Here is an 11813-nt window from a genome sequence, read left to right as displayed (position 1 = left end):
GTTGTCTAAAATATAGAACAGCAGAATGTGTAATTAGTTGCTTTTAATAAAGCCATTTTGGATGATGCTGATGCTGATGATGCTGAGGATGATGGCAATTTTGATAATGATGATGATGAAGATGTCCCTGAAGACCAGGTCCAGAGGGAACTCTTACCTTAGAATGGAGCCAGGCCAGGCGCGGTGGCTCATGCCTGTAATCCCAGCACTTTGGGAGGCCGAGGTGGGAAGATCACTTGAGGTCAGGAGTTGGAGACCAGCCTGGCTAATATGGTGAAACCCTGCCTCTACTAAAAATACAAAAAAAGTAGCTGGGCGTGGTGGCGGGTGCCTACAATCCTGGCTACTCAGGAGGCTGAGGTGGGAGGATTGCTTGAACCCTGGAGGCGGAGGTTGCAGTGAATCAAGGTTTTGCCACTGCACTCCAGCCTGGGTGACAGTGTGAGACTCCATCTCAAACAAACAAATAAAACAAAACACAAAGATAATGGAGCCGGAGCCAGTGTCACAGGCAAAGGGCTGATCAGGATGTTGCATTGCCCAGCAGTTGAGCTGGACCCTCAAGTTGGGCCATCTGTGACCTCAGGACTCTACTTCTTACTGGCTGTGTGGTCCACCAAGCCTCAGTTTCCCCCTTTCTAAATGGAGAAATTATTACATGAATTAAAGGGTTTTGAGGAGGCTCTTTTGAAGTAATCTCTGTAAAACATTATCACGTTATCACATTGTCTATACACAAAAAATGCTTTACAGTGATACTAACCAAATCCTTACATGCAGCATACTTTATGACGGGATACATTCTTCTTTTTTTTTAGACTGAGTCTCGCTCTGTCACCCAGGCTGGCTCACTGCAACCTCCACTTCCTTGGTTCAAGCAGTTTTCTTGCCTAAGCCTCAGCCTCCTGAGTAGTTAGGATTACAGGTGTGCACCACCACACACAGCTACTTTTTTATTTTTGGTAGAGACAGAGTTTCACCATGTTGGCCAGGCTGGTCTCGAACTCCTGGCCTCAGGTAATCGGCCTGCCTCGGCCTCCCAAAGTGCTGGGACTACAAGGCGTGAGCCATTGCACCTGGCCTGACAGGCAACATGCTAGGAACATTCACAAATTCGTTCATGTATGTAATAATTCTACAAGGTAGATACTAGCATCATCACCCCTGTTTTATAGATAAAGTAAGTAAGGCACAGGGAAGTTGCATAATTTCACCATAGTCACAGACAGAAAGTGCCAGCGCAGGGTGTTGAACCCAGGCAACCTGAGTCCAGAGGCCAACCTTTTAACCATTATACTACACAACCATGGCAACTATAGAAGTGCACTGCTCACATTTCCCTTTGAGAGAACCGCTGTGCAGAGTTGACTGACCTTGGAATTTATCACAGCATTCACATAAAGGCTACACTCTTCCCCTGAGCCGCTGTCAGCCAATAACTGAGCACGGTGGAGTACCAGAGTTAGACCACTCCTGCCTAACATGAGATCTTCCAATAAGCAGCACTTTTTGTGTATGTGCTAAAATATATATAACATAAAACCAACTATTTAACTACTTTTAAATATACAGTTCAGTGGCATTAAGTATATTCAAATTGTGCAATTACCACCATCCACCATCCATCTCAACAACTTTTTCATCTTCCCAAACTGAAACTCCATATCCATTAAACAATAACTCAGCTGAGCATGGTGGCTCACACGTGTAATCCCAGCACTTTGCGCGGCCGAGGCGGGCAGATCACCTGAGGTCGGGAGTTCGAGACCAGCCTGACCAACCAACATGGAGAAACCCCGTCTCTGCTAAAAACACAAAATTAGCCGGGTGTGGTGGCACATGCCTGTAATCCCACCTACTCGGGAGGCTGAGGCAGGAGAATCACTTGAACCTGGGAGGCAGAAGTTGCGGTGAGCCGAGATTGCCCCATTGTACTCCAGCCTGGGCAACAAGAGTGAAACTCCATCTCGAAAACAACAACAACAACAACAAAAAACAGTAACTCTCTATTAGTCTCCTCCCCTACCCCTAGCAAACACGATTGTACTTTGTTTGTTTTGTTTTGTTTTTGTTTTTGTTTTGAGACAGAGCCTCACTCTTTCGCCCAGGCTGGAGTTCAGTGGCACAATCTCAGCTCACTGCAACCTCCACCCGCCAGGTTCAAGAGATTTTCCTGCCTCAGCCTCCCAAGTAGCTGGGATTATAGGTGCCCGCCACCATGGCCTGGCTAATTTTTGTATTTTTCGTAGAGACGGGGTTTCGCCATGTCGGCCAAGCTGGATTATACTTTTTCTCTATGAATTTGACTACTCTAGATATCTCATATCAGTGGAATCATGCAGTATTTGTCCTTTTGTGACTGGCTCATTTCACTTAGCATAATGCCTTCAAGGCTCATCCACGTTGTAGCGTGTCTTAGAATTTCCTTCCTATTAAAGACAGAATAGGCCGGGCGCGGTGGCTCACGCCTGTAATCCCAGCACTTTGGGAGGCTGAGGCGGGCGGATCACCTGAGATAAGGAGTTTGAGACCAGCCTGGCCAACATGGTGAAACCCCATTCTACTAAAAATACAAAAATTAGCTGGGCGTGGTGGCAAGGCAGCTGTAATCCCAGCTACTCGGGAGGCTGAGGCAGGAGAATCACTTGAACCCAGGAGGTGGAGGTTGCAGTGAGCCAAGATCACACCATTGCACTTCAGCCTAGGGGACAAGAGTAAGACTTTGTCTCAAAATAAATAAATAAATAAATAAATAGTAAAATAAAGACAGAATAATATTACATGGCATGTGTACACCACACTTTGTTTATCCATTCATCTGGTGGGCAACCTTTGCTCAAGGACTCTCTATCAGCCTGGCTGAGACTTTTTCAGAACGTCACTTCAGTCTGACGTTCCTCCTACCTATCCTCCCTCATTCTCCACCTCCTTTTACAGATTGTCACGCCTGCATCACAGTCAGAAAGCTCTCACCACCTTTTCCTGCTCCTCCTCTTTTATCCTTCACAGATGTTCCCTTGTTAATGTCTTGCATGCCTAAACCCAGCTTGGTGTCTGTTTCTCAGAGGACTGTATGGACATGACAGCCTCTTTTTTTTTTTTTTCCTTGAGACAGAGTCTCACTCTGTTGCCCAGGCTGGAGTTCAGTGGCATGATCCCGGCTCACTGCAACCTCCGACTCCTGGGTTCAAGCGATTCTCCTGCCTCAGCCTCTCCACTAGCTGGAATTACAGGCACCCGCTCTCATGTCCGGCTTTTTTGTATTTTTAGTAGAGATGGGGTTTCACCATGTTGGCCAGGCTGGTCTCGAACTCCTGACCTCAGGTGATCCACCCGCTTCGGCCTCCCAAAGTGCTGGGATTACAGGCGTGAGCCACCACACCCAGCCCCATTAATGTCTTGCATGCCTAAACTCAGCTTAGTGTTTGTTTCTTAGAGGACTGTACTGACATGACAGCCTCTGTTTTTTTTTTTGGAGACGGAATCTTGCTCTGTCACCCAAGCTGGAATGCAGTGGTGCGATCGATCGGCTCACTGCAACCTTGGACTCCTGGGTTCAAGTGATTCTCCTGCCTCAGCCTCCTGAGTAGCTGGGATTACAGGCCCACGCCACCACACCTGGCTAATTTTTGTATTTTTTTAGTAGAGACGGGGTTTCACCACGTTGGTCAGGCTGGTCTCGAACTCCTGACCTCAGGTGATCTACCCGCTTCAGCCTCTCAAAGTGCTGGGATTATAGGCATGAGCCACCACGCCTGGCCACAACAGCCTCTTAATAAATATTATTTATCATTATTATTCTTGGAAAAAGGAAGATGTATTTAAATTTGTAAAAACAATTTAAGATAGTTATATAGAATAATCGTGGATCATATATTCTTTTTAAAATTTCTTTTGCTACCTAGCGTACATATTTGTATACATGTAGATATGTAGCTATTTCAATATAGAAAATTTAGAAAACATAGATAAGGAGAAAGAAGAAAATTAAATTCACCTGTTATTCCATTACCCTAGATTTTCATTTTGGGGTGCATCTCTGTAGATGTTTATGTGTACATATCCAGTATATCTTTCTTTTTCAGGAAACTGGCTACTCTCATAGTATTAATTGGGTACAGTTGACTCTGTAGAGCTCGGATTTCATAAACTGACCTAATTTAGGAGTGCATTAATTCATCCACTTCATTTAACAAACACTATTCAGCACAAGGAATACAAGATAAACACAGCCTTTGTCAATGGAAAACATACACTTTAGTGGTGGCTATCAACACACATCTCCAGTCAATTACAAAACACTGCTGTGTAGACTGAGAGGAGAGGAGGGCCACCCAGCGCAATCTGGTTTCCTGGAGAAAGTGATGTTTAAATTGTAGTGTTTAAATCTTGAGGAACAGCTAGGAGTTAGTAAGGAAAAAGAGGAAAATTTACGAGAGACATTGTCAAGCTAGAACCTAGGCATAGGGGCCATGTACAATAGGCTTGGTTGCTCAAGGAGCAGATGACTCTATCTACAACCACCAAACACGATTACTGACTCTGCGCGTATGATTGAGTACGTGTGTGTGTGTTTGTAGCAGCCACTCAGACTGAGCAAGGGATAAGACTTTAACCAGTCAAGAACTCTTGGGCAGAGGCTATGAATGGAAAAAGCAGATACTTACACACCCTCCAGGGGAGGAGAGGAGCTAATTGATCCACAGGCTTAGACTGGAAATATCAGCCAAGAATTAAGCTCTCTAAGGGCAGAAATGGTAGCTTCTCTACCCTTGTGGAGTTCATAGGCCCAAGACAAAGCCACGTACAACAAGGACCCTCAGTTGTGACTAGTGCCCATGGCATCACTGGTTCTCTAAAGAGACCTCAGGTAAGAGGAAGACACTTTGGACAATCCTGGGATCATTCTAAGCCATCTCTTCTCAGGAGTGCGGTTGGTTCAACATGAAGTATGGAGTCTAGCATCTTGGAAGTGGTGCAGAAAAAATGTAAAAGCCCAGCATTTCCCTGAATCAATCTGAATTATTTATCAATGTCAGCAGCAGCACTGCCCATCACAGAATTTTCAAGAGAAGGTTGTAGGTCAGCAGGAAGTAAGTGTTGTTTCCAGTATTGTTTTGATGTTAACTTTTTTTTTTATTGTCAGGAGTAGACATTTTATTTTCTGCATCCTGTAATTCTTGTTGGCCAAGTTCTATTTTAGCACCTGGGCATAAATAAAAGTATTCAATGATAATATCAAAAGGGTTCTAAGTGTGCTGACAGGCACCACCATCTCATTAAATGTGAATATCTTTACAGTGTAACTCGATTTAAAAAAAAAAAAAGAGGTAGACAACCACAGTATGGTATTTTTAGGTACGTAGGTGAGGCAGGCGCCCACACATGCCACCACATCCTTCTGAACAGTAAAGACATCTCTTCTCTTCTCCTGGCCTTGGAGGGGATGGGGCTGTGATGACCTGGCATTGCTTCCTCAGTGAAGCCTTCCTTGAGGATCAGCCAGCCCCCCACTCTCATCTCCAAAGCCCATGCTTGTCAAAGCAGCTGCCAGAAAGTGACATGGAGAGTCCAGGCTCAGCCAGGCGTGGTAGCTTATGCCTGGAATCCCAGTGCTTTGGGAGGCCAAGGTGGGAGGATTGCTTGAGGCCAGGAGTTCAAGACTAGCCTGGGCAACATAGTGAGACTCTGTCTCTACAAAAAATTTAAAAATTAGCCAGCCATGCTGGTGCATGCCTGTGGTTCTAGCTACTTGGGAGGCTAAGGCAGGAGGATTGTTTGAGCTCAGGAGTTTGAAGCTACAGGGAGCCATGATTGTGCCACTGTACTCCAGCCTAGGTGACAGATTGAAACTGTGTAAAAAAGACAAGAGAGTCATGGCCCATCTCTGTGGTCAGTGAAGCCTCGGCACCGAGATGGACAGGAACACGCCTAGTCATGGTAACTGGACCCCTAAAGACAGCAATCACGAAGGCCACAACTGTCCAGGGGTCTGCATGTTCTATGCATGGGAGAAATGTCACCACCTCCCTCAGGCACAGGCCTGGCCAGGGGTCGTCACTGGGTGGGTGAACACCCACTGGTCTTCTCAGCCAACTTGGCAGTCAGGATAAAAATAACACCAGCCGCCTCATTTTCCAAAATTAAGGGCGATGCTTTAGCAAATATATGCAGATGTATACAGACACAGATGGGAACAAGTGTATTTAATTGTAAATGAGTCAGAACGGAGCAAATGAGATTTCCCTTATATTTGGGTTCCAAAAATTACAGAGAAAATGTGCCTGAGGCAGAAACAAACTAAAAAAAAAAAATGGAGGTAGGTTATTGAGGCAGGAGCCACATGGGAGAGAACCTTTGGACCCAGAAGGCTGGGACGACTTTGGCCTCCTCTAGGGGTTATGAAACTGTTCTGGCTCCAGAGAACTCAATCCCAGAGGCCCTGAAGTGGCCACAATGCTAATGGGATGAACACAGGCCCAGCTGAGCAGGACTCACTGTGTCTCAGCCTCACAGTGTCAGAGAAAGCAGGGAAAGGAACAGAGGGCTGTAATGGGCCTGTCCCCTAGCGGGGAGCCAAAGGCCAGCTTTTATCTTCTCAGAGAAACAAGCAGAGACAGAGAAAAAGAGAAAAGGAAAAAAAAACACCTCTGCCCAGCTCCATGTGGCCAGAGAGGGGGAGAGAGAGAAACGTGAATGGCAACGGAATACTTTTGTTTGGAGAACGCCATTTCTCCTAAATGGCTTCAAGGCAGGCACCTAGTAACGTGCCAGGGTCTCGGCAGACATTCAGTAAATACTGGAAGGAAAGGAAAGAGAAAGGATGGAAGGTGGGCGGACTGCGTCATCCTGCAAGTCCCTCCCATTCTGTGGAGTGGAGAACTGCAGAAGCTCTAAGGCAGATCACCCAAGTAAAAAGGAACACCCTCCCTGGCACAGGGGAATGTGGGGACTGAGCGTGAAAAGTGAGCCACACCTTCTCCCCAGGCCGCCTACCCTGTAAGCTCACTCTCCTCCAGAGGGAGCACCTCCTGTGCCTAAGCAATAGTAATTTGCCCCTCAGAGAATAGAAAAACTGGTTTCACCACAGCAGGAGGCCCAGCTATCCCCAGGGCAGCAATCTGACACCAAGTCAGGAAGCTCTGTGCATCTGGGCAGGCTCAGAACTTGGCAGAGGGTCTGGCACCTTGTAGGCATTTCTTGCGTGCCAGCTAGTAAATGAAGTTATGAATGCATGCACACGTGAATGAATGCAACAAAGATGCGCTCCCCACACTAACATGGTCTTGCTCTGTGGTTTGGACCCTTTTCCCTCTCTCCCCAGGCTTGTTTCTTTTGTGACTCTGCCTCCCAACCTGCAGGAACAGCAAACCCCACCTTTTTCCTCAGGTCCAGCTCCCCTGACTGGAGGATTCCTGGAAGGCGGGAAGCACAAAGTCTCCTCTTGGGGAAAGGGCCGGGGGGCACTTTTGTCCCCAGCCAACCCTGCATTCTTTGGCTGATCACATTTGCAGTCCTGGCCTTATCTCCCCAGAAAGCCCAGAAGGCAAGGTTGGCCTTGCTGACATTTCAATTCAAGGCCACCCTCACCATACCCCCAGCCGGCTCTCACCTACTGTACCCACATCCAGTATTTCAGCCCTGAAGAAATCAGATCTTGTGTGTCTGGTGTTCTATAATGGGAGGTGGGAGGGTTGCTAGGGGTGTCCAAGTGCTCTGAGAACCACATACCCAGGAGAGCACATGTCTCAGCCCTGCGGGCCCTCTGAGCCAGACTGTCAGTGCCTGTCCCTGCCAGTTGCCAGTGGATACAGAAACAAAAGAGGGAAATGAAGAAACAATGCTCTTGCACAACGCCCAGGAGAGTTGTGGGCATCTGGGCATCATCTCTGCTACTCCAGTCTGCCATATACCAGCCTAGTGGAAGGGCTTACTTCAAATGAAGTCAAGGAGAGCTGAAGAACTGGCTCCAAGCAGAGCCCCGCATCTGCTTTTCACAGGCCTGCCTTCTTTTTTTTTGAGATAGAGTTTTGCTGTTGTCACCCAGGCTGGAGTGCAGTGGCACCATCTTGGTTCACTGCAACCTCTGCCTCCCGGGTTCAGATGATTCTCCTGCCTCAGCCTCCCGATCAGCTGGGACTACAGGCGCGCGCCACCACGCCCAGCCAATTTTTGTATTTTTAGTAGAGACTGGGTTTCACTGTGTTGGCCAGGCTCATCTCAAACTCCTGACCTTGTGATCCACGTGCCTCGGCCTCCCAAAGTGCTGGGATTACAGGCATGAGCCACCGCACCTGGCTTGCCCAGTTAATTTTTGTATTTTTAGTAGAGACGGGGTTTCCTCATGTTGGCCAGTCTGGTCTCGAACTCCTGACCTCAGGTGGTCCACCAGCCTTGGCCTCCCAAATTGCTAGGATTTCAGGCATGAGCCACCGTGCCTGGCCTCACAGGCCTGTTTTCAACACTGGCTTCCTACAAAAGTGCTGGCCATTTTCTTCAACCTGCCTCCCCTGCCTGCCCTGGCTTTCTTCATCTGACTCTGCACTATATTTCTGCTTTTTAGCCTTCCATCTTCCTTCCACTTGTTTTTCTTCTTCTTCCTGTCTCTTTCTTCTTCCCTTCTTTTTCTTCTTCTCCCCCTCTTTCTCACCTGCTCCATTTGTTCAGCACTTTACAGTTTATGAAGTGCTTTCGGGTACATCGGGCATAAGATGAGTTCAGGAGCGTTGATGACAAAGTGGGGACCATAGCATATACCAAACTGGGCAATTAGAAAGCAGATTTTGTTAAAATGGAGAGAAGAGAGGGACTCACCAGGACTTCAAAATAAGAGGGAAAATCATCTCGTGGAAGCTTCGTGCTGACGCTGGGCTTTGGAAAAGCCACCCCTCTCTTTCATCTTCTCCATGCGAGGCCTGAAGACTGACATCTCTGCTTGTGTTTTGTGAGACATCTGTCTTGGTTTGGGGTATCCTGAAACAGGGGTTCAAGTGCAAATAGTTTATTTAGGAGGTGATTCCAGGAAACATTGGTAGGGGAGTGAGGAAGTAAGAAATAAAAAGAGAAGGGCAGGTCGGGCTATGTACTGTTCTCACTAACCGGAATGCTCTTCTCTTTCTTATCCAAATGTTGGGCCAGGCGCGTGGCTCACACCTGTAATCCCAGCACTTTGGGAGGCCAAGGCGGGCAGGTAGCCTGAGGTCAGGAGTTCAACACCAGCCTGGGCAACATGGTGAAACCCAATCTCTACTAAAAATACAAACAATTAGCCAGGCACAGTGGCATGCGCCTATAGTCCCAGCTACTCGAGAGGCTGAGGTAGGAGAATTGCTTCAGCCTGGGAGGCGGGGGTTGCAGTGAGCCGAGATCGCGCCATTGTACTCCAGCCTGGGTGACAGAGCGAGACCTTGTCTCAAAAAATAAAAAAATAAAAGAGAAGGAAACCACTAAGTGGTGTATATTAACTCACTGCAAGGACTGCTGGGGGTGGGGGCCCTAGAAGACAATGAGGAACATGCATCAGGGCTATCCCAACTGAGCAACTGAGGGGTGAGGAAGCTGGGGCATTTATCCACCAACACCAACACCCCTCACCCCCCACCAACAACGTGTGTATGCACACACATACACTTCTGTCATTGATTGGAAGCTGCTTCTTGAGCTGAGCCATTCACTCACTGGCACTCCCTACTTTCCCTTTGTAGAGAGGCCAGGTGTGTTCCTGTGGCCAGAACAAAGCCCTCAGGCAGCGCCCCAGGTGTTTGCGTGATCAGTCTCTGGGTAGAGAGGTGAGGACTAAGAAGATTTAAGTGAGGCAACAACATCTGCTACAAACCCCTGTAGCCTTCCAACTTGCACCCTTTAACTTGAGCCAGTTTGAGTGGGTTTCTATCCCTTGAAGCTAAACAGTCCCTCACTAAGCTATCTCCCCTTTTCCTCATTACTCCCGGTAGATAAGCACAAATATTCCTTACCCTCTCTCCTTTCTCTTGTCCCTGTTGCCCTCAAATGTCCCTCCTCCCCATCTCAAAATGCCTTCACATCTCCCCCCATTTCTTTTTCCTTTGCTTTGAGCTTGGAACCTTTCCCTTCCACGTGAGCTTTTGCACACACAGACACACACATCCTACTTCCTCCAAGATGTTGTTCTGTCAGTAACCCTCCTTGAATGATGGACAGTAGATCTAAAGGGAGAATGTTGCAGGCAGAGGAAGAGCAACAGCCAGCTCTTATCCAGGGTCTAAGGGGGCCCCCGCCCAATGCCTTCCTGTCATCCAGGATACAAAGTCCAAGCCCTGAGCCTGGAACTCAATACCTTAATCCGATTTACTGTTTCTATCTCATCTACTTCTGTCTTTCCTACGCACCTCACGAATCAACCAACATGTATTGAGGGCTTTACTATATACCAGGCATGGACCAGCCCTAGGGGAACAGTAGTTAATAAGACAGACACAGTCACACAGTCCCTGTCCTCAGAGAGTCTACAGCCCATCAGGGATGGAGAAGAGAGAGATGGGGTAGAGATCACAGGAAGGCTGCCCTTCTCTGAACCAGTAAGCATTCGGAGGAGGAGCCTAGGGCCACCTATCCTCCTGGTTTCTGTGCCTCTACCCATCTATTGTATCCAGCCTCCAACAATCTTCACCTCCTGGTATCCACATCTGGTGTAGTTCCTTCCCACACTGTGCCAGAGTTGATCTATGTGACCAATATAGAACATAGCAGAAGTAATGGTATTTCGCTTCTGAGATTAGGTTATAAAAGACGCTGCAGGCCAGGTGTGATGGCTCACGCCTCTAATCCCAGCACTTTGGGAGGCCAAGGTGGGTGGATCACGAGGTGAGGAGATCGACACCATCCTGGCTAATATGGTGAAACTCCGTCTCTACTAAAAATACAAAAAATTAGCCGGGCGTGATGGCAGGCGCCTGTAGTCCCAGCTACTCAGGAAGCTGAAGCAGGAGAATGGCGTGAACCTGGGAGGTGGAGCTTGCAGTGAGCTGAGATCGCACCACTGCACTCCAGCCTGGGTGACAGAGCAAAACTCCGTCTCAAAAAAAAAAAAGACTTTGCAGCTTCTGTCTTGGGCTCTCTCTTCTCAGTCTCAGTCTCTCTCTCTCATCAGTTGCCATATCAAGTACCTCTATAGAGAAACTGAGACTTGCAGTAAACAGCCATGTCAGTGACTCGTCTTAGAAGTAGACCCTCCAGCCCCAGTCAAGCCTTCAGATGACTGCTGAAGCGGGGGCATTTATCCACCAACACCAACACCAACACCCCCCACTCCCCCAACAACATGTGTATGCACACACATACACTTCTGTCATTGATTGGGAGCTGCTTCCTGAGTTGAGCCATTCACTCTCTGGCACTCCCTCCTTTCCCTTTGTAGAGAGGCCAGGTGTGTTCCTGTGGCCAGAACAAAGCCCTCAGGCAGCGCCCCAGGTGTTTGTGTGACTGCAGCCCCAGGCAATGAAACCTCTTGAGAGACCCTGTGTCAGAACCATCTTGCTAAGCTGCTCCCCAATTTCTTTTTTTCTTTCTTTCTTTCTTTTTTTTTTTTTTGGGATGGAGGTTCACTCTTGTTGCCCAGGCTGGAGTGCAATGGCATGATCTCAGCTCACTGCAACCTCCACCACCCAGGTTCAAGTGATTCTCCTGCCTCAGCCTCCTGACTAGCTGGGATTACAGGTGCCCACCACCATGCCGGGCTAATTTTGTATTTTTAGTAGAGACAGGGATTCACCATGTTGGCCAGGCTGGTCTTGAATTCCTTACCTCAGATGGTCTTCCCACCTCTGCCTCCCAAA

This window comes from Homo sapiens, chromosome 5 (genome assembly GCF_000001405.40).
Source record: "Homo sapiens chromosome 5, GRCh38.p14 Primary Assembly".
NCBI lineage: Eukaryota > Metazoa > Chordata > Mammalia > Primates > Hominidae > Homo > Homo sapiens.
Note: the sequence above shows the minus strand (reverse complement) of the source record.